Source organism: Homo sapiens, chromosome 1 (assembly GCF_000001405.40).
Source record: "Homo sapiens chromosome 1, GRCh38.p14 Primary Assembly".
Classification (NCBI taxonomy): domain Eukaryota; kingdom Metazoa; phylum Chordata; class Mammalia; order Primates; family Hominidae; genus Homo; species Homo sapiens.
The window spans coordinates 164,646,343-164,670,306 of record NC_000001.11 but is presented as its reverse complement, the minus strand read 5'-3'; the positions used below and the strand labels follow the sequence as shown (position 1 = coordinate 164,670,306).

Genomic DNA, 23,964 nt, shown 5'->3' with positions numbered 1-23,964 from the left:
CTGGCCTCCAGGTTCCTCCCCAGCACTTCTTCAGCCTATCAGTCATCAAAACAAAAGATGCAAGCCTCAGGCCATCAGCTCTTAGAGAGGTCCTAGGCAGTTTCCCCTGGACCTCCCTGAGGGTGTAAAGGGAAGAAACCAAATATTCCTTTTCCATGGTGGAAGCCCTCAGGAGGCGCCTCTGGTCACTTGAGGGCAGAGTCCCACTCCTCATGGACTCTGCCTATGGCTTAGTACTCTCACACTCTCATAGCAGCCAGATGTGCAGGAGGAAATATTGTGAGCTGGTAGTCAAATCTTGATACTGCTGGCAGCTTTGGAATTGGAAGGGTGGAAAGGGCTTACAGAAGCCCAGACCATGAGGGTCAATGATAATTCATCAAGACAATATAGCAATCAGAAATATATATGCACCCAACATCAGAGCACCTAAATACACAAAACAAGAACCAACTGACTTGAAGGGAGAAACAGAAAGTAAAGCAATAATAGACACTTCATGACGGTCTGTGACAATGCCCAACATGGATATACACAAAGGAAAGGCCAATTGGGTAGCAGGAAATATTAGAAGGCTGTGAACATGTGTTTAGGGCTAAGAACAGAATAGTGAACTCCCTAGGAGTATGAGGATTTGTTGCATGAACCCAGGAAAGGGAAGTAGGGTGTGCCCAGAGACAGAAGGTCAGAGAGGCAGTGTGTACATTCTAAAAAATTCTACTTCTGGAGAGGACTATTGGAGCTAGAACCCAGCCCATACTTAAGACTACTTCCTGGAAGTAGAAGGAAAAGAAGAGAATAAAATTTCTGTGAAACAAGTTTTGCTCACCTGCAACACCCACATCTGCTAGAAGAATGTGCCCCCACCCCATGTCCTCTGTGGATTTGGGAGAGGGCGCCCCTTATCCCAATCCCTTGCTCTTAATTCCCAGTGCAGCGGTTTCTCCCCAACCTCAAGAAAGTGGACGAGTGTAATTATGCAGAAAGCACCACTGGAGCTATATCAATAAGACAGACGTCTGTTGTATCATTCTCTCTCAGTAAGGCATTTCTTCTCCCCAATTGCTCATATAGAATCATAGCCTAATAGCATCCCATTAACATAATTGCCAACACAACTAGTGTTCCGTGTCTCAGAGCCATTTACTTACTTTACCATAAAGAATACCAAAACAGCCCTAAAATCACAAAGAGGAGGGAAGAAGAGGGGTGGGTGATGGGGGAGGTAAGAGGAAAATGTTACCCCCTTTATATTCCCTTTGCTCCCCAGAGTGGGGCTCCAAGATGATAAACACAGGAGTGCCTCTCTCATCTGCGGGAATCGTAACACACAGTCTTCCTACCAGACTCCCAAGCAGACGTGTGCTAAAATCTAAACGGATTCTGCCAGGCGAAATGAAATTCCCATTATTTTTAATTAATCCTTAATTAAAATATATTACTCCGCAGATTCCGCAAATCTCTCTTAATATGCAAATGCGGCCCATTCAAGGATATTTACATATCATTAATTAAAACGGCACATTCTTTCAGTCTAACAAGCTGAGGGGCTGTGGCTGCTGCCACATTGGCGCGAGGAGCCGGTCCTGGCAGTGCCAAGCTCATCTGATAAAAAGATGTCAAGTGTTGGCTGCGCCTGGGGAAGGTAAGGCGAAAGGGGAAGAGTATGTTACACTTTGACACTCTTGAGCACAAGAACTTCAAATATTATCTTGGGGCTGTGGCCAAGTGATTTTGGCAGGGCTCGGAGGCTCCCTGTTATCGACACCTATCTAAAGATCACCTCAGGAGACAGCCCAGCAGGGCCCTGGCTGGGAGACCTTGTATTTCTCTCTCAGGTGATCCTAAGTCATGGTGGAGGTGGGGTGGGTGGAGGAAGATGTTGGCGTGTGAGAGGTGAGAGAATTTGTATACATTTGTCCAACTTTTGCTACAGGAGTAAAGTCTGACCCTCAAAGTCGAACCACCGCCCCAAATCAAGACACAATCGGGTCTGGTGGGGAAACATTAAGCATAATATACCCATCCCTTACAAATTGCTTAGGTAAACAAAGGTCTTCCTAGGAAAGACCGGTCGCTTGGGTGTGACTTTATGCTCATTCCACAGAGTGCTGAAAAGACAAGTTCAGGACCATGTAGCCAAGGCCTGACTGTTGGGAACAGATGACAGGAGGGTGGTATGACATAGTTCCTGACCAAACGTAAAGGAGGAATTCACCTAGGAAAGGCATGTAGAAATGGACATCAATCACTCCATTTCTAAAGACAAGCCCTATCAATCAGGGAGAGATCTGCAAATAGCACTCCACCCACTCTGGAGGGAGAAGTGGGAGAAGGGGGCAGCCATTTGTGTACAGCCAGGACAGCCTGCTGACCTCCCGTAGCTCACTGCCTGCAACACCTGAGACTAGGAAAGGCTAGGAAACAACAATACAGGAAGTGTGAACTGCATCTACCTCGAGCCTTGTTGTCCTGAGACCTCTGGGAATCCCCACATCTGAGAGTCTCACTCATCAAGATGGGGCTGCTGGTAGCTGGCTGGGCTCTCTCACTAGCTAAACGGCTCACTCCTGCACAAGTATTTGAAATGCGTTGTCTCGGCAAAATTACAGCTGATTACATCCTGTAGATTTGTGGCCATTTCTTAATAGGTGAAACCAAGAATATTAAATCTTTGAATGCCAATGATCTACTGTGAAACTATTTAAATTATGACAGGGGTCCATGTGATGTCTTGAAGCTGAAGCAGCTACCCAGGGACTATAATCTAAGGCTTCTGGTCTTGACCCAAATGTCCACTGCTTCTCTGTAGTTCTGCCAGGGTCGAAGTTATTGCTCTGCCTGTATATATATAGACAGAGCTATACATATATACACACACACACACACACACATATTATACATATGTTATATAAAATACATGTTATATACATTATATTATATAGATTATATTATATATTTGTGTGTATATATATTTCTGATTATAAACTTCTACAAGGCAAGTCCCTTAGCTAAAAAGGTCCTTGCATTGTTTTTTACTTAGCTCATTGCCATGCAAAGACAGGAACTAAATACACGCCCAGTGCAAGATTAGATGAAATCAGTAAGAAAAAGGGAAGGTCACAAGGCCAAGGTTCATGAAGATGGAGCAGTTGGCCTGAAAAAACCTTCAGAAGCAGTGTCAGTCTGGGTAGGGTGAGCAATGAAGTTTTCAAAGCAATTAACTAGAATGGGCAGAACCATCCTAAGACAGACACGATGTCAGGCTCTATTCTTAGGGTGTATCTTGGTGCTTCACAGCAAATTCGGGTTCAAATCTCAGCTCTATACAGAACACACTCTGTGACAAAGAGGGTTCCATAACATCTCTAAGCCTCAGTCTAGGTATCTGAGAAACGGAGAATCATTGCCTGCCTTAAAGGGTTCTGTGAAGATTCAATGAGACGATCTAATAAAAACCTCAGCACATAATTAGGACTCAGTAGAAGGTAGCAAGTAGTAAATTATTATTTATTTTTACTACTTTTTTTCCTTTAGGCAAATGGCTTAGTCTCTAAAACCCTTTCCAATTTAAAAATTCAGTAACTCCCAGGAATCCTCTCCTTCCCGTCCCTCATCCTCCACATTTGCTTCAGCACCTCTCCTAGGCCCATAGGTGTTATTTACTGATATTCTTGGAAACTAGTATAGGGACATTTCCATTACTAAAATAGCAATAACAGAGGCCCCACAGTTCTATGAGTTTATCAAGCAGCAGAATATTTGCTCCATCAGCCAGAATCTGTTATCAGGCTTCTTAGAGCAGCTATCATTATTTCATTTTTCTTACTCAGACCAATCTGAGAATGAACACCCTAGTACATTATAACAACATAAGCATTAGCTAAATACATCACTGGATCTTTGAAACCTTAGGCATATTTATATACAAAAACAACAAATAAGAATAATAATAATAATGGACTTAAGCCTTTTGTTAGCATTTGTAATATGTCCACTGAATGCAGATATGAACAGAGCCTCTTTCCTTTCCATCTAGCTTTTGAGGCTTTGGGGAAGAAGGGCTGAGACGCCAAGTGGCAGTTGAGAAACCCCCAGGAGAGACCACTATGTTAGACAGTCACCCCAAGAGTATTGCAAATGGGGACATCCTCTGGGAGGTGAGGGATTCGTGGGAATAGTGAACGGTACCCAGGAGTCACATCCCGTATCTCTTCAACTCCATCTTGTCGTGCATACCATTCCCTCCTGGAGTTGCCCAACACTGAGAATCCCATACCGAAAATTTTATGGCTGCCTAATATCTTTAAGGCACGACAATTTTGATAATTCCCTACTTTACAAGTCCCATCTTCTCAAGGCCAAGCCAGAAAACTTAAAACCCTAGACTCCCTTGCAACTAGGTACAAGCAGATAAAATGGGTCCCATGAATCTGATGAAGCCTCACCAGCACTTGGATTCTAAAAAGCAGCAGTTTAATTTAGGGGACTCAATCTTTTGCCATCCACGATGACAAGCTATGTAGTTGTTTAGGGGTGGAAGCGGCCACATTCCTGATGTTAGGTCCTGAGTGTCCTGGCTGCTAGAAGCAGAGGTAGAGGTGTTTCCAGTGGAGACAGCCCCATAGGGTAGCTGGGTGCTACAAACACAGGCTGCCAGGCCCTCCAGACATTCTATGAACTAACCAGTGTCCCTTTGTTTTTTTAATCTGAAAAATTAGGCTGGGTTCAGTGGCTCACACCTGTAATCCCAGCACTTTGGAAGGCCAAGGCGGGTGGATCACTCGAGGTCAGGAGTTTGAGACCAGCCTGGCCAACATGGTGAAACGCTGTCTCTATTAAAAATACAAAAAAATTAGCCAGGCATAGTGGCGCATGCCTGTAATTCCAGCTACTCTGGGGTCTGAGGTGGGAGGATCACTTAAACCTGGGAGGTAGAGGTTACAGTGAGCTGAGATCGCAACACTGCACTCCAGCCTGGATGACAGAATGAGACTCTGACTCAAAAAGTAAATCAATAAAATAAAATAAAATCTGAAAATTTTAATAAATTTTTAAATAAGTTTCTTAAAATGTTTAATACTTTTTTATTTTATGTTAAGTAGCCAGACTGAATTATTTTTAGCACAACTAAAATTTCTGACCGATACAGCTATGTTGCCAATGTACAAGAGATCATCTAGTCTTTCCCATTTAGACAGGAATATTGTAGCTAAACTATTCACAGAATTTATTACAGAATTCAAACTCCACTGAAGAAGGTTCACAGTCCTCCTTTTCCCTCTTTTACAAAATGGTCTCTTTTCTAAGACCCTGCAACACAGATTCCAAGCTTGTACTATGATATGGTTTGGCTGTGTCCCCATCCAAATCTCATCTTGAATTCCCATGTATTGTGGGAGGGACTCAGTGGGAGGTAATTGAATCATGGGGCAGGTCTTTCCCACGTTGTTCTCTTGATAGCAAATAAGTCTCACGAGATCTGACAGTATTACAACGGGGAGTTCCCCTGCCCAATCTCTTTTTTTGCCTGCTGCCATCCACATAAGATATGACTTGCTCCTCCTTGCCTTCCGCCATGATTGTGAGGCCTCCCCAGCCATGTGGAACTGTAAGTCATTAAGCCTCTTTCCTTTGGAATTTGTCCGGTCTTGGGTATGTCTTTATCAGCAGTGTGAAAACAGACTAATACATACCATCACGACCAGAATAATGCAGAATGATGCCAGGACTTGTCTCATATGATAGGAGTTCAACTCAAGCCAAAAACTCTAATACATTGTGCCAGTTGATATTGTGACTAGTTTTGGTATGGTCAGTTTTGGTTTGGTCACACCTGACTGTGGGAATCCAGAGTTGGCTTGGTACTGGCGGCAACACAAAGGATGTACCGGGGCTTCCCACAGCTTCCCAATTGTGGTGACAGTTTTGGTACGGCCAACACCAGTTGTCAAAGGCAGCACAGACATATGACTAGAGGGACACCAACTAAAAAACTCCCTCATCTTACAGAGGAAGCCACATAACCTCAAAAGGTCAAGACACCTAGACATGGTCCGCCTGCTGGTTAATGTCAGATCATAATGAGAAGGAAAGACTTCATTATATGAAGATGAGGAAAAAGCAGACTTTCTCAACTCCATGACCTCAGTTAACCTGTTTCAGTTGAGACATCTATGTCCTTCTCTTGAACAGACAGACACTTCCCTTGGTTATGTAGATTAATATTAGGTAATTCAACAAACTCACCAAATGCAAAGTGGCTGCTCAGTCTCTGACTGACAATCCAGCCTTTTTGCTCTTTCAGGATTTACCTGTCACAAATGGGGAGACTGTTTGAAACCCCCTGACAAAATAATCAGGCACCATTCAGCAGGTGCTTGGATTCCCACACAAAGGACCACCATCTTTCACTTTCTTTAATACTTGGCTTCTGGGAAGAGTTATTAACTTAAACACCATCTGATTAGTCATAGCTCTACTATGAAAGTTGGCCTGGGGTTCACCCCTAACGTACCTGGCAATTGATATTTTATTTAAGGCGCCAACACACTTCAACATACTTTGCTAATATAATTATTTGCATAGGACTATGATGGATAGGATATCATACCAAGAGCAATACATTGAGGAGCACTCAAAAAGGTGTTTGATGATCTCATAAATGTTTTAATTGCAATGACAGACAGGTGCAATCATCTCATTAAATATAAGTATCTTTGATATAGCTTTACTTTTAAAGAACACACAGCATGTCGATGATAAGTATCTTTACGTTCAGGTCCCAGATCAGGCAAGCTATGGGCCAGAGCCCAAAGCACGTAATGTTGAACAGGTTCTACGTATCATGAACAGTAATGTATTATCACACTACATCATGTTGTACCATAGGGAGAAGCAATCCTACTAAGATACTTTCTACTCTGACCAAATCTCTAAATAAAGGATGGAAGGAAAAAAGGAAGGAGGAAAGGGAAGAAGAGAGAGAGAGAGAGAGGAAGGCAGGAAGGCAGGCAGGTAGGAAGGCAGGCAGGCAGGCAGGCAGGCAGGCAGGCAGGAAGGCAGGAAGGAAGGAAGGCAGGAAGGCAGGAAGGCAGGAAGGAAGGCAGGAAGGAAGACAGGAAGGAAGGCAGGAAGGAAGGCAGGCAGGCAAGAAGGCAGGCAGAAAGGTAGGCACGCTTCCATTTGCTTAAGTCATTCCTTTGACTGACATGCTTAAGGCTATGGCTTCTGGGAAACTATTTGAAAGTTACACAGCTGGGCAAGACATATTTTCACTAGTTGTGCTGATGTTAGCACCAATGTATTTCTATGATATCATCAAAACATTTGTATTTTAGAGTTGTAGTTCTTTATAATAACCCTCACAATAATAAAATAATAAATGAAGAAGGTAGTTCTAGTTCAGGAGTAAGAAAAACAATATCTGATCAAAGTTCTGCATATTAACCATCACTACAAGAAAAAAAATAAATGTTCACACATGTTCACATGCATGCACATAATGACATAGAATGATAAACCTTCACAGTACAAGGTGACGGTGACTGTAACAACGAAGCTACCAAACTCTAGGCAATTACGGGAAAGACAAGTGCTTGAGCATGAACAAAGGCATCTCACTGCCACCAGGCTGTGCAAGAGGCCTTGATCCACAGAATGCTCAAAGCTCACACTCCTGAATCCTACAGGGGATCACAGATTCAGGGAGGCTTCAGGCTTATCTGGAACAAGCTGAAGAAGGCTCCTCGGACCCTGAACCAACAGGAATTGACATCAGACCATCACAACTGACTGAGGAAATGCATAGTCGGCTTGGTACTGGTTGCAATGCAAAGGATGCACTGGGGCTTCCCACAGCTTCAAGGTATTCTGCAAAAATCCTATTAACTCTGCCTACACCCTGTCTCCTAGAAGGCCCAGAGTCTGGTCAGATGGAAATTTCCAAAAACAGACTAAAGAAGTTTTTGTTTGTTTGTTTGAGACAGAGTCTTGATCTGTTGCCCAGGCTGAAGTGCAGTGGCGAGATCTTGGCCCACTGCAACCTCCACTCCCCAGATTCTGGCAATTCTCCTGCCTCAGCCTCCCGAGTAACTGGGGTTACAGGTGTGCACCACCACACCCGGCTAATTTTTGTATTTTTAGTAGAGACAGGGATTTGCCATGTTGGCCAGGCTGGTCTCAAACCCCTGACCTCAGGTGACCTGCCCACCTAGGCCTCCCAAAGTGTTGGGATTACAGACTTGAGCCACTGCACCTGCATCTGGTCTAAAGAGGTATTTAAAGGAGGGCTCTTCAAGTCTGGGAAGAATTGATTTGTTAGGATTTGGAAAGTACTCAAGAAGAAAACATTTAGGCAATTGATGCCCTCCATGAAAGTGTATTTTTAGGTCTTTAGTCCTTTTTTTCCTGTTTTTACTCTACAACCTATCCCTGCTTGAAAACATGAAATAAATTTTTAAAAAATTAAAAAGCTAGCACTACTTTTCTTTTAACTTCCAATGAGGTGATAACGCCTATGTACACATTAACTAATACCAAAAATAAAATTACAAAGGTCAATATAAGAAACTGGCTTATGGCTGGGCACAGTGGCTCACGCCTGTAATCCCAGCACTTTGGGAAGCCAAGGTGGGTGGATCACCTGAGGTCAGGGTTTCGAGATCAGCCTGGCCAACATGGTGAAACCCCGTCTCTACTAAAAATACAAAAATTTGCCAGGCATGGTGGTGGAGGCCTGTAATCCCAGCTACTCGGGAGGCTGAGGCAGGAGAATTGTTTGAACCCGGGAGGTGGAGGTTGCAGTGAGCCAAGATCATACCATTGCACTCCAGCCTGGGCGACAGAGTCAGACTCCATCTCAAAAAAAAAAAAAAAAAAAACTGGCTTACAGTGAAATTGCTGGTGATCCCTAGACCACAATATCAGGGCTTTCCCTGAGGATGTAGAGGCTTCTTTGACATGAACCATTGGTAATGTTATCCCTCATGCCAGATGGCATGTCCTTCAGACACACCCATGGGAGAGAGGCCCTCGGCTGGATTCATTCACAGGTGTTCAAAACATCAGTATTCCTTCCCCACCATTACTATAGATGCTGAAGAACTAAAGGATAAGAAATGCAAGGGTTCAATCTCTGAAGAATTCACAGTCAAATAAAGAAGAGTTGGTAGACAGAGAAAAACATAGTAAAAGTCTTCTCCTCTCAGCTGCTTCCAGTCTGTGTTTACTTAAATAAGGTGAACAGGCACACCAACAAGCAGTATGCTTGCCTTCAGATGTGATCAGCTGTTGGCTTCAGCTGTGATCAGCTGGCAATTCTCTGGGTTTCCTCCTGTACCAGAATAGTACAGGTATACATCAAGGTGCTTGGCTCCACCAGTAAGGTAGGTAACTTAGTGCTGAGCAGAATTTGTGAGGGGAGAGGATATGAATCCTAGAAAGAGAATTAGTAGTCTGAACAACTGATATGTTATTTGTAGGCACAGACCACAATCTATATTATTGTTAAAATGAAGAAGAAATAATATACTTTAAAAAAAATCATCCTATGTTTGGTTTTCTAACCTCAATGACTAGCAAAGGCACTGAAGAGCTGTAGTCAAGGATGATGTACATAAAAGCTGCTCTGTTCTGTCAACCAAGAAAAGCAAGCAATGGCAGCAGGCGTCAGTATAACCACTAAGTGTGACCTCTAGACAAAACCACTTCCTTCTCCCTCTGCTGATGTTACTACAACTGACTGTGGTTTTAATCTAGCTGATAGGGTGACAAGGAGCAAGTTAACATAAAAGGAATTTATGCAATGGCACAGGTCCTACACTTTATCCCAAGAGGAGGTCTGTAAAGTGTCCTTGATCTTTCGCCAGTCTTACCACACAGGTGTTTTGGGTCTCAGCACTGCCATGTCAGCTGCAGCTGAGACGCCTCAGCTCCCTGGCAGGTGCTTTTCAAACCCAGTGTAAGTTCCCCAAAGCTCCAGGCCCCAGCATGTCCCACATAGGCAAGGTCCCCAAAGGGCTCCATTCAAAGCCCAAACCCGTATTTCAGGTTTAGACAACATTCCCTTATATTTCAAAGCCAGGTGCAATCCTTCTCCAGTTTGCTTAAACCTTGTTTTCTACCAGAAATACTTGGCTCACTCAGAAAACCTTGTCCTTATCATCATCTACCCTGTAGAATATTGCCCCCAACCCCTCCTCATTTTCCTTTGGTGAGTAGTTTTAGAAACAGCATGTGATTTTTCCCTAACTTCTACCTGTCAAGGTTTTTGGTTGCAAACTACAGAAGTGGACTCTGGCTCACCTACCCAGGAAAGGAATTTATTGGACAGATAGGCAGTGCCTCTCAGAGTCAACAGGAAACCTGGAGAATCAAGCTCAGAAAAATAAGCACAGACAGCTGAGAATACAACCAAGGTGCTGCCAGAGGAAGCCTGTTAGGAGACAGACTCTGGTACTGCTGGCTTTGGGGACTTATCCCCACCACTGCCACCACCCTCGATTCTGCTGCTACCTCTGAGGCATCTGTAGTAATCCTGTCTCTCTGCTTAGCTCCCTCAAAACACAAGACTGGGCATGGCTGGCGTTCCAACTGGCCAAGCTTAGTGCTCTTGCTTAAGCTGCCAGGGAGAGGGAACAAGGGAGGATGTGTGAAGGGGGAGGCAGGTTCTGCAGCCACCCAAGCCAATGGAGGTGTCCACTCACATAGCAAAAAGATGTCCTTCCCAAACTCACCTGCTGCTTCCTCGGTACAAATCCCAACTTTCCCTTGCTCACTCAAAGAACTCCACTTGATTCAACAACCATTTTTTGGATGTACAGCACATGTTTGGTGCTATGTAAGGTGATTTAAGAACACAAGGGAAACATATGCTACAGCTTTGTTAATATAGAGGGAGGAGAGTTACATTCCCAATGAGGAAGTGGCAGAAAAATGCCTTTTCCAGGTCTGTAACTAAAAAGGAAAAGATCTGTGGATGCCTTTGATTTACCCCCTTTTCCCTCAGAAGATCTGGATGCAGAATTCCAAATGGTATTTCACCCTCTCCAGCTGAGATGTGAATCGATGTATATCTGCAAATCTGGGCACATTCTCAGGATGTGATTTCTAGAGCTTAAAACAACGAACCTAATTCCCAACAATTCAGGGAAAGAAATATTCCCTCTCTGTGTCCATGTGACATTGTTCATTGTAGGGAAAAAGAGATGATGAATGAATCAGCCCTTTCTTAGTGCCTCCTACCCATCAGACACTGTGCTATGAGGTTAATATGTGGGATTGCCACTGGTCCTCCTGAGTCTTAGTGAGACAATGGGAATGGACAACGACTGGAAATCATGGAGTCTGAGATCAAATCCTGGCTCTGTCATTTAATAACTGTATCCACCAGGGCAAGTTACTCAACCTCTCTGTCTTTTCTTTCCTCAGCTATAAAATGGGGATAATAAGAGCCTCTACCTCAAAAGGTTGTAGTGCACAGGGTAACAGATAACATATGTAAAGTGGTAATAACAGTATCTGGCATGCACATGCTCAATAAATATTGGCTGTTATTATTATAAGGTAACTATTAAAATCCCAATTTTACAGATTAATAATCTGAGGGTTGGAGAGGTGAAATAGCCCATCCAAGGTCATAAAGACCAACCTCATATGTAGATATGTAGCAGGCTGGAATGCCAAACAGTTTTGACTCTAAGAACCATGTGACACCATGCTGTGTATACACTTATATAGTGTCAAACACACTCGGGGATATCAAGCTGCAATCCAGAGAAAAAGCTGTAGTGCCACAGCTTTTGATGCTGAGGAAATGTCACAGCCATTATCTGTATTAATAGATCTCTAATATTTTATCTCTAGTAATTATCTGTACTTATTTTGGTCATTCTTGGAAAGGCAAGAACTGAAATTGCCAGAAATCCCTACGACCACAGCAGATAAAAAGCAGTTTTCAATCAGTTGAGCTCCACAACAGGCTGATGAGAACCTTTGGAAATGGCAGCACTTGCTTTACTGGTGTTGGGGTATAGGGTCACTTTTACAATTGAGCTAAACAGTGGCTGCAGAATTCGCATGGGCTGTAAGGTTGATTTGGCTTTTATTTTAAATTCCAGTCTTTCTTTTTTTTTTTTTTTGTACCTCATTTATTATTTGTGAAATAATTACAACTTCTGAATGCCATTATGAGTTAAGAGAGAAGGGGTCTAGCTTTTGGACTTTAGGTCTCCCCATCTACCACCTGCCTGCTACCCATCATTCTGGCTCCCCAGTCCCCCAGAATCTGCCTGACAGTGGGACACGAATGCCCACAGGCATAACAATGAAGCTGCTAGGAGGCCATACCCAAAGCTACTATGATGATAAGATGGCAAGACATGGAGTGGCAAAGGCACCAGAAGTTTAACTCTGGGACTATCTGTCCATCACCTTTCTTTCTTGCACAGCATGCAGGTTGCATGGGCTTAAACTGTAGTGGTCAATAAAGCCACACAGATCAGGGTGAGCAAATGAAAGGCAAATCTAACTCAGGTAGAAAAAAGAGCATTTATTTCCTTGACTGGTACCCTATCAAAGGAAAAGTGGGGCTTCTTTCTACTTGAGAAAACTCCCGATTCCCCAAAAAACAATATGCCCACTTATAGGTCAACTCAGATTAAACAAGAAGGTTAATGCACTCTACATCCAATGCTCCATATTTTACTATCAACTAAGTTGTTATTAGCCTCTTGCATGAATTTTGAGCCTTGTTTCTGTCCTCTCAGAACAGGTATCAAGAAATACATCTGCTAGAATGTAAAATTATCATTTCATTTCTAAGATTGAAGTAAATATTACTTAACATGTTGTATAAGCATTTACTGTTACTTTGATTTTATTGCTTCAATTAACCCAGTTTTAATGCATCATGATAATATTAGGTTTGGTTTACCATATTATTATTGCCTCCTGTTGAGATAAACATCTCCCAGATACATGACAGACAGCAGATGTCCCCACCTTCTGAATAGATACCAATGTATGATGCATCTTCTACATCCTAAAAATGTTCAATTAGAACAGGTGGAACTGCCCTAATGACTGAAATAATTGCTCCTCTTTGATGTTCTTCAACCACCATGGATTTCGGAAGCTTGTCTCTTGGAGCCAATGACATTTTATCATCTCTACATGTGTTCTTATCTTCCCACTCTGTGGAAAACAGTACCAATACACTCCATTGTTTTGTTTTGCTTTATCAAACAGCAAATTATATCCTTATTTGGAATAGAGTATGTTATCTTAATATTATTGCTTTAGTCAAATACTCCATATGGGAGTTTGAAGGGGGTTTTTGTTTTATTTTACACAGGCTTGGTATCATATATACAATCCACAGTCAACCCATGTATAAACTCACACTTGAATCACCAGTTGATGAAAAATATTATCTATTCTTGGTATAGTATGATAATATAATATATGTAATAGGATATTATAATATCATTTATATAACATAAGAATACCTGTAGCAGAACTGATCTCTACAAGTCTCATACATTATTAGTCATATTACAAGAATTTCCTGTACATTTTAGCATTTTATTGTCCTTTATACTTTCTATTTCACATTAAGAAGGTTTTTTTTTTCCGTCACTTTCCTCTATAGCCATCACTCAATCTTAAATTGACAAAGCAAATCCTCCAGTGGCATCAAATGCACACCATGTGTTAGCCAAATTTCAGACAGGTTTCCCCTCATAATTTGTCTAAGACGAAAGGAATAGATATGTTTAGTTTCAGGGAAGTGAAACTATTCAGCAATATCAGTATGTTGATCTAAACTAACTCAAATGAGATGAATTCTTTTCTGACTTCAAAATATGGATTAAATTAATAAGAAGAATGCAGATTGTACAGGCAAACAAATTAAGACAAAAAATTTCTATGAGATGTACTGAACATTTGCCTCCTGAATTATTGTTTACTTGAAAAAGAGCTGATTATATTAAGTATTTAAATGTAACTGAGACTTTTATCAGGACAGAAGTGCTTTTGCTGTTACCCATATTTAATCCAGCTACCTGGCTAGAGTTACATAATTATATATGTATTAGACCAATATTTATGTGGCACTTCTTACCACTGAGTAGCCATATCGATAGATCCTAACAATTATTCATTATATTAAGCAGCCCAATTTCTGGTCAAATAATCAGATGAAAGCATTTTATTTTGACTCTCTTTTAAAAATATCATTTCTAAAATATTTTTAAATGTTCCATATTAATTCCATTCTCCACCTGCAATTGAAGGCTAACTGTCTATATAATCTCCATCTATTCATGTTATGGTGAATACCTATCCTACATGCCTTCTTGTTCTTGTTCCTGTTCCATATATCTACTAATCCCAAAGGCAGCCATAGCCTCATTTGTCATACAAAATCTTCATCAGGTCCTTACACCATGTTAGACTATGACAATCATAGTAGTTTCACTGCATATTGATGCCATGTAAAATCCTATTCACTGAGATTTAGGGAGGCTACATCACATTAACTATATACAATGTTTTACAAATCTAAAGCCCAGTGCAAACACACACACAAAACCAAAACAAATGATTGCAGTCAAGGAGGTCAACTGAAGTTCCAGATCAGCAAACACAAACAGTAAGTCAATCACAAGAAAAAATTTCACTGAACATTACCAGAAATATTCACACTGTCTTGACTGTCTCAGTAAACCACTACAAGAAATGGTGGTCATCCTTGGAAGATTAAGAGTGGTCCCAACAGCCATGTATCTCAATGTTGTACTCAACATTGGACTTTTCTACTCCCAAAGCCAGACCACACTCCCATAGCATGGTGCTCTGTAGAAGACAGGCAGTTTAAAAAAGACTTCAGAGGCCGGGCACAGTGGCTCACTCCTATAATCCCAGCACTTTGGGAGGCTGAGGTGGGCAAATCACCTGAGGTCGAGAGTTCCAGACCAGTCTGACCACCATGGAGAAACCCCGTCTCTACTAAAAGTACAACATTAGACAGGCGTGGTGGCGCATGCCTGTAATCCCAGCTACTTGGGAGGCTGAGGCAGGAGAATCACTTGAACCCAGGAGGTGGAGGTTGCAGTGAGCTGAGATCGCACCATTGCACTCCAGCCTGGGCAACAAAAGTGAAATTCCGTCTTAAAAAAATAAAAATAAAAAAAAAAAAAAAACACACATCAGAGACTGGGGAAGAGAGATGCTAAATTAATGAATAACTCCTTTGGATAATTTCCATAAAATCAGTTCTTCCCCTGAGTTATCCAATCCAGCGTGCCATCCTTGACCCAAGAAGGCCACGCTAGGAGCCCATCTTCCATTCCCATCACATGCTGTGCTCCCCTCTGTGATAATACAGATCACATCACACATTACTCCCCAATCACAAGCTCCTGATGGCAGAGGCTGGCTTTATCTATTTCTTATACCCAGTTCGATAAATGCTGCTGAATGAATAGAGAAATGCTTAAGACTTGGTTAACTATCTTGGTTCTTCCATTGACTGACTACAACTGAATCCTTTCTGAATAGGCCTTAAATGCTACATAACTGAGTTTATTTTCATGAAGTTTATGTGTGTGGGAATGGAGAAGAAAGTAGAACTACTGATGTGATGCCACCAAATCTCCACTCTCAGACCATTCTCTTCCCATTTTGACTCTTTAGAAAGTACAGATATCACCAGGGATAGTTTTAAAAAGAAGGAAAGAATTTAAATTCCAGTATTTCTCACATCACTTGTCCATATCTTTCAAAAACCTTCTTGATCCTGTTCCTCCTCAAATGTGTTCAACCCAGCTGAAGCAGTGGATTTAATGACAAAGGCCATCAGCGATGAGATAATCACACGACATAGTAAGTTTAAAATCAATGAAACCTGAGGCCTGATGTTTTGCCATGATGTCACCTCTAACCAGAGTTCCAAAGACTGGGCCTCTTTTCTGTTAATACAAATGGCAAATCATAGAGACCCTGGAAATACACACGCACATCCTACCTTTTTGGTTCAAGGTAAAAGCACTACATTATAAGTAAGGGAACCTGGATTTTCTTGCCATTCTAAGTGCCAAAAATCTTAGTGGAGTGACAAAGTTTTTCATATTGTCCCCATCTACAAAATGCAAATATTAGAGCTAGACACCCTACCCCCAATGCACTGTGTTTACGGAATATCTGCCAGCAATTTCTAGTCCCGATTTGTGATATCCTTGAGTTGACTCTACTGTTTGGAAAAGAATGGTAAAAATTTATCAGAAACAAAATTCCATTTTAATCTTGGGAAAAAGGAGCAGAATTTTAAAATCAAATAACTAACACAGAAAACTCCAAAGAAGGAACAGGCTGTTCTATTGTCACACCTATTGTTATAAATAGCCAAGGACAATGAAGCAGACAATGAGCCCCAAGCAAAGAAACAAGTAAGTTCCAAGCCATTTAAAGTATGGGTTTGTGGGCCCAGGTTTGAGAGGTGCGGCCATGACAGGCTTTTGTCTGCCCTGTGCCTCAGCTCACTCCTCACTCTGTTACCCAGGCTGGAGTGCAGTGGCACCATCTTGGCTCACCGCAACCTCCGCTTCCCCGGTTCAAGCGATGCTCCTGCCTTAGTCTCCCAAGTAGCTGGGATTATAGGTGCCTACCACCACGCCTGGCTAATTTTTGTTTTTTAGTAGACGGGGTTTCACCACGTTGGCCAGGCTGGTCTCGAACTCCTGACCTCAAGTGATCCACCCACCCCAGCCTCCAAAAGTGCTAGTATTACATGTGTAAGGCACCATGCTCAGCCCCTCACTCATCCCTCTTGCCCAGCACCACGGCCCTGCCACTGAATTCAGGGAGCCAGGCCATCACCCATGTGCTCTAAAACGCTTATAAAAAAATTGTATCTTACATACTAAATTATTGTAAAAAGATTTAAAAAAAAAAAACAAGTGAGACTGGATAAAAAAATTGTGGTGTATTCACATAATAGAATACCACTCGATAATAAGGAGGGGTGAAGTACTGATGCAAGCAATAACACAGATAAATCTCAAGAAACAGTGTGATAAGTAAAAGCCGGGTACAAAAGTACACATGTTGTGTAATTCTACTAACAAAGTTTAAACAAGGCTGGGTGTGGTGGGTCACGCCTCTAATGCCAGCACTTTGGGAGGCTGAGGCGGGCAGATCACTTGAGGTCAGGAGTTCAAGACCACCCTGGCCAACATGGCAAAACTCCATCTCTACAAAAAATGCAAAAATTAGCCGGGTGTGGTGGCGCACACCTGTAATCTCAGCTACTCAGGAGGCTGAGGCAGAACTACTTGAACCCGGGAGGTAGAGATTGAAGCAAGCCAAGGTCGCACCACTGCCCTCCAGCCTGAGCGACAGAGTGAGACTCTGTCCGAAAAAAAAAAAAAAGTTTAAACAGGCAAAAATAAACTATGGCGGTGGGGGTGCGGGTGGTAAGAGAAGTAAAAGGGGCTGAAAGAAACTTTCCAGGGTGATAAAGGGGTGTTGGTTACATGAGTATATTTACTTGTCAAAACACTTCAAACTGTATATTTTAGGTCTAACTATTTTGCTGTATATAAATTTTCAAGTTTTAAAATTCACAAGCTTATTTATCTTTTAACTTCCTCCCACCTCTTGACAAAAATCTAGGAAGTTTAGTGGTATAAGGGAAAAACACTGAATTCTGGAAAGGGAGGATCTGAAATGTAACCCTCTTCTCTCACCTTCTAGTTCTATTACCTTGAGCAAGTAAGTTAACATCTCTATCCCTCATTTTTCCCATCTGTAGAATGGGAAGAATCTATTAATGGTCATCTCCAACAAAATGCCCCAAATATAAAATGCCAATAATATAAAGGAAAATGCTTTGTAAATGACACAAGGTTATATAGAAAAGAGATGAAATGAATCACTATTTTCCAAATTGGGGTGGAGTGAGGGGAGGAAAATCTGCTAGAGTACCCCCACAGGGGTTATTTAAATTTATACGAGGTCAGGAGATAGAGACCGTCCTGGCCAACATGGTGAAATCCCGTCTCTACTAAAAATACAAAAATTAGCTGGGTGTGGTGGTACATGCTTGTAATCTCAGCTACTTGGGAGGCTGAGGCAGAAGACTGGCTTGAACCTGGGAGACGGAGATTGCAGTGAGCTGAGATTGTGCCACTGCACTCCAGCCTGGTGACAGAGACTCCCTCTCCAAAAAAAAAAAAGTGATGATTTCCTCTTTCTACCATTTTGAAACATAGATTTCCACAGCTGATCAGAGCCACCAAACCAAGAGCTCACATTTGGCTTCTACTTTTCCTTACACACACACACACACACACACACACACACACACACACACCCTCCCTCCATAAGCTCTGACTCCTCTTACTTGCTCTGTCTGCTTTGCGAGGTGCCCAATCTGCATAAACCATGAAAATAAATCAACCAGACAACGAGGAAAAAGCAACAAACCGCAGCCAAGGCCAAGGTACAAACCCCACCCGGGGAAGAATAGGTCATTAGGTCCTGCTGTGAGTCATGGATGTCACCATGCTTAAAGTGGATTTGGTCGCAGGAGGAAAGTCACCCATTTGTGGGCTCCTCTCTGTCTCATTCCCCTCCTTTCTTCTCCCCCCACCTTCAACTGTTCTTCTTTTTGGAGGGTTGTTTATGTGTTCTCTGCACCTCCCTCTTCCCCTGCTCTTGCTTCTCTCCTGCACTTTCTCTTTCTCTCTAGGCTGGGTTTAATTTGACACCTTGAGCTTTGGTAACGAGGTGGGGAGCAGAGCAGCCACAGCGGAATTCATTAGGCTCAACACTGCAGGGCCCGCTCTCTGTGCGTTAATGACATCGGAGGGTAGGGAAACGAGACAGCCACCACGCGAGATGAAATAAACATGAGGACTGTCAGCAGTGACAGCCTAAGCAAAGGGGACAAAATGAGCCAGGTAGAGACCTTTCCCCGTCCGCACAATGCAAACCGACAGCTTGCAATGCCCCCGCCTCTGCACAGCCTCCACCACCCCCTCCCCTGCACAGCCTCCACCACCCCCTCCCCAAAGCTGAAGGGTGGGTAATGGGGAGGGGGGTGAGATCCAAGTGTGGATGGGAAAGAAGGAAATAAAATACAATTAAATTATCATTGTTTTAACATACAAATTTCATTTATCAGTTTAATGTTGGTGGAAACCGAATTCATCACCCTCCTTCAGAGATGGGAGGTACAAGGAGGCTGGGGTGGGAGCTGACATGCCTGGGCTGGGCTATGCTTGAAGTGTTCTTTCCTTTCCCCTCACCTCTTAAGGTCTAGGCTGATTTTTTTTTTTTCTGAGCAACATCATTCCCCCCATTTTCAACCACCATCCCTCCCTGGTACTAAAGGGAATGCTGCAAGGAGGAAAAGAAGGGAGAAGGGAAGCAGAGGTGGTGGAGAAGGATCTGAAATGCTACTTCCTGCACGCTTTTTTTTTTCTTGGAGGTGGAAGGAGTGGAGGATGATGATGAAAATTCAAGCAGCATGTACTAGACGGCAGAGCAGCATGAGCTACATCCACACTGTGCAAAGTCCTTAATGTGCACACCTAGAGGAGCAAGGGCCCTGTTCTCAGTTAACAGTTGTCAAGAGACAAAGACAGGTTGTCCTGCTGGGTTAACTGGCAAGGAAAGTTTTAGGGACTATGATGGCTCTCTATTCTCCACATAATGCAGACTGTAAACAGACTAAATCAGGGCTGCCTTCTCTTCCAATAGAAAGTAGCAACGATAGTTAGGCATGGTGGTTCACACCTGTAACCCTAGCACTTCGGGAGTCTGAGGCGGGCGGATCACTTGTCAGGAGTCCAAGACCAACCTGGCCAATATGGTCAAACCCTGTCTCTACTAAAAATACAAAAACTAGTCAGGCATGGTAGCAGGTGCCTGTAATCCCAGCTACTCAGGAGGCTGAGGCAGGAGAATCTATTGAACCTGGGAGGCGGAGGCTGCAGTAAGCCAAGATCACGCCAGTGCCCTGCAGCCTGGGCAAAAGAGCAAGACTCCATCTCAAAAAAAAAAAAAAAAAGTAGCAAAGAAAAAGTCTCTCTTTACACCAGATGCCTAAGAGTCCAGTGGCTTCCCCATCTCCAAAAAGTCTCCAAATCTGACTCCATATGGCTGGCCACAATGTGAGGCCCGGGGATGGGATCTGTAGCACTACATTTGCCCTAATTTTGTCTGCAGATCCACATGGCCAGAGTTAAGAGTTGCTTCTATGCCCCTTTCCCAGAAACCTTCAACTCTTTCTCTCCCTTCCTCAGAGAGAGGAGTTTGGTAAGCAAAGACCATATTTTAAAGCCAAATATCTTTGTTTTTTTTTGGCCATGGACTTCTCAAGCAAAGTTTTCAAAGAACCCCCAAAGCTGGCAATGTTATTATGAGAAGGGACATGAAAGCCATTATATTTTTATTAACTAGCATTAAGAGGAATTCATAAGAGAAAGTATGTGAAGGCTGGATCAAGGTCCAAATTCAAACTTAGAACAGACCCAGCATGGTCATTTTGAGTTGCATGAGTTTAAGTTTGCTCCCTGGCAGGGGGTGGAATGCAATAAAAAGCTAACTTGAAAGTTTGCTACAGTATGCTGCAGGGATGTGAAGGACAAGGGAGGCCAGGTGCAGCAGACTGGGAGCTCCTTATGCTTGAATTCATGGGACACAATCTAGGAAGCCAAGTGGCCATGGCTCCAAGCCACACATAGGAACAACTAACACCAGAAAACAGCCACTTTCGCATACTGGGGGGAAAAAACTGATAGATTTAGGGCATTATCTTTTCAAGGGGTTGGGAGGATGACAGTTTTGTCAAACAGGTCCTGGGTTTAAGGTTTAGAGACTCCCAACAAAAGTATTCTCTACATTCGAAAATAGTTAACACTTTCCTTCCCTATATGGCATGAAAATAGATGAGTCAGCACCTCATACTAAGCACTGTAATCCCTGAAGGAAAGCGATCCATTAATAAAAGTGCTTTAGATGTGTTTTACATCTAAAAGACTAATTTTGTTTTAAGCTAGAAAATATGATTATAGAATACTTTGTTAAGGGAAGGAGACACACACAGCCCATTTGTTTTGGAAGGCAGCAGGTGAAGTGACTAAGCGCATGGCGGTGGGAGAGGACCTAACTAGATCTGTAGGCCAATGTTCCCACATTGCAGTACATTCTAGCATGGACCCCCTGAAAATGATCCAGGTCCAGAATGAACACAAAGTAACCCCACAGAGGTGTGTCATCTTGGAATGAAAGAGGCAAACAGCCTAAGTCACATCAATCACAAAACTGTGATACCAAAGGTATCACAGTTAAACAAAAAGCATGTTTCCCATATTACTCATTTGGACCCTCCCACAATTTTCTTTCTTTTAGCCCAGTTCTAATTGCAAGCCTGCCCCTGGGGCTAGAGGCCCCTGCTCTGGTGCATGTTTTCATTACATTACACTGCCTTGCTCAATCTCTAAGGTAATCTCTGCAGAAGCTGATTTCTCCTCTCATGTTTTCTCTCCTATCTGAAAAAGAAAGCCAAACGCCCTCCCGCCAAGGGCAAGCAGCTGACAAATCAACAAGTCCAGGGTCATTCTAAGAGGCATTAGGTATAGTAGAAAGAGTGGGGTAGCTTAGAGTAAGATAAACAAGTTTGATCCCCTTCTCTACTATTTACAGGTTTTGGGACCCAGAGAAAATTATGTAGCCTCTCTGGGCCTCCATGTCCTTCTCTGTAAAATGGGGAGGATAACAGCAACCTCTCTGCTGCGTGCAAGTAAAATATCCTAAGTGTGATTTCCCTACAACGGTAGCTGGCATGTGGCTAACACTTTCAGTGGGAGCCAGCTAGTGAGGAGGTGGCCAAAGAACTTGCTGTGACACTTCTGAAGTTTCCTGGCCTTGAAGTATGTGAAAAATAAGTTACACAAGCCAAATGGGCTACACTTACTATAAGAATAACCTAGAGCTTGGTAACTTCAAAGTACAGTTTTAAGTTTCCTTCCTCCACTGTTAATTGGAAACACTTAAATCACACCCCTAATAATAAGCCTTTCTTTGCCTTTCTTTGGGCACACTCAAGCTCACCTCCTATTGTCAGCCTTCCCAGGTCCCCGGGTATTTCACAACCCCAGTGCATAACACAAAAGCTGGGGTGGGCTGGGCACGGTGGCTCACGCCTGCAATCCCAGCACTTTGGGAGACCGAGATGGGCAGATCACGAGGTCAGGAGATCGAGACCTTCCTGGCTAATACGGTGAAACCCCGTCTCTACTAAAAATACAAAAAAATTAGCCGGGCGTAGTGGTGGGCGCCCGTAGTCCCAGCTACTCGGGAGGCTGAGGCAGGAGAATGGCATGAACCCGGGAGGCGGAGTTTGCAGTGAGCCGAGATCGCGCCACCGCACTCCAGCCTGGGCGACTGAGCAAGACTCTGTCTCAAAAAAAAAAAAAAAAAGCTGGGGTGCTTTGAGAAAATACAGATGCTCAGCACCAGCCCCCAGATGTTCTGATTTCATCATTCCAGGGTAGATCCCAGGCACCAGTAATATTTTTTAAAAGTTCCCCAGGTGATTTTAATGTTCAGCCAGGGTTGAAAACCACTCTGTACCAAATATACTTGTTATTGAAAGGTTTATGCATAACATTAAAAAAAATTTTATGATGATTTTTATTGCCGTAACAACTTGGCAGAAGGGTTAGGCCTGCTCACCTAAAAAGGAAAGCTCCTCAGGCTTCTTAAAAGATCATACCTGGGAGGGGCCCAGGGGGTCAACTAGGTCACCTCGATTTCATGGAGGAGGCTGACAGAAGGAAGTGACTTTCCCTGATAACAAAACAACTTCCCAGCAGGGCTGGATTCCTTCCTGGGAAGCCTGCAGTCTTTACGATTTTCCTCCTTTGGCTGTAGTGGTGGCTCTGGGGTCCGGACTGCCGTGCTCTTCTCTCTGCTCTTCCTCCCTCTTTTCTCATCCTCCCTAGTGGTTCCTCCTCCAACGGCCCCTGTTCAACCTTTAGTGCTAACTGCTATCAGTTTGAAGAGTTCATTCAGTGCCTTGAGCTTTGAAAGGGAAGGTGCCATGAAAATCTTAATAAACAAATAAATAATTCATACTAGGCATTGGTCTATTCTCTGCACCACTGGGTTTCAAAGGTTACTTAAAAGCAGACTCTTTCCCACAAACCCAAGCAAATAAAATCCATGAAACAAAGGTGCAGGGGTTGAAGTTGGGGTGGGACCCCCGAGCCTGTAGGGCTGCCCCCCTTACTACCAGGAAGGCTGTCCTGGGACATCTCCACACTCTTCCGAGGGCCATGCCCTGCAGACCAGACTGAATGCCACCACACTAAAGGTATGAGTGCACAGCATGTGTTTGCGGTGGGCAGTCCTAAAGGATACAATGGCATTCCACTACACATCCTGACCCCTAAAAAGGATTTGCTGTAAAGCAAACACACCTCTGTGAAAAACTGCATGTACTGAAATTGGGTGGTGAGAAAAATAAAGAGACATGGCGGTAGTTGGACCTGCTCAATCTACTCAATCCTGAAATGGATTTAAGACCCCATAACTATCAAAAAAACTCTCTCCTCTCAACGAGCAGGGACATATCCTAACAAATGTACACAGGTATGTGTGACTTTCTACCTATTATCTCTCCTGAAGACTTGGTGTCCCCAAGTCTTTTTTGCATTCAGAAACAAGGAATAATGGAGCACAATTAGAAGTAAGGGGTCGGTTTGGCCATATCTCCCCATCAGAAGCATCCACAGGTCTTTGGCAGCCAGGTCAGAGGTTGCCTCTTCTAGGTAGTCAGCCTACAAGGGAAGCTCTAAAAACCACCCTCTAGTTGATTCCATAATGTATGTGGCTGTCAATGACAAGCTTTCCTACTGTTGATCAAACTAGTTATGCAGTAACCACTACTGA

At 43.1% G+C, this 23,964-nt stretch overlaps 1 protein-coding gene across 11 annotated transcripts in view, besides 1 other annotated feature; it reads right to left on the bottom strand.

Moving 5' to 3' along the window:
• Positions 1-23,964, bottom strand: part of PBX1 (PBX homeobox 1) — a 326,864-nt gene that overhangs the window by 215,741 nt on the left and 87,159 nt on the right. The window lies entirely within an intron of this gene.
• Positions 18,380-19,506: an enhancer, noted in NCBI's record as "VISTA enhancer hs1235". NCBI's record gives its function as "enhancer in: hindbrain (rhombencephalon)[6/8]" and the evidence as "EXISTENCE:transgenic organism evidence [ECO:0001131][PMID:17130149]".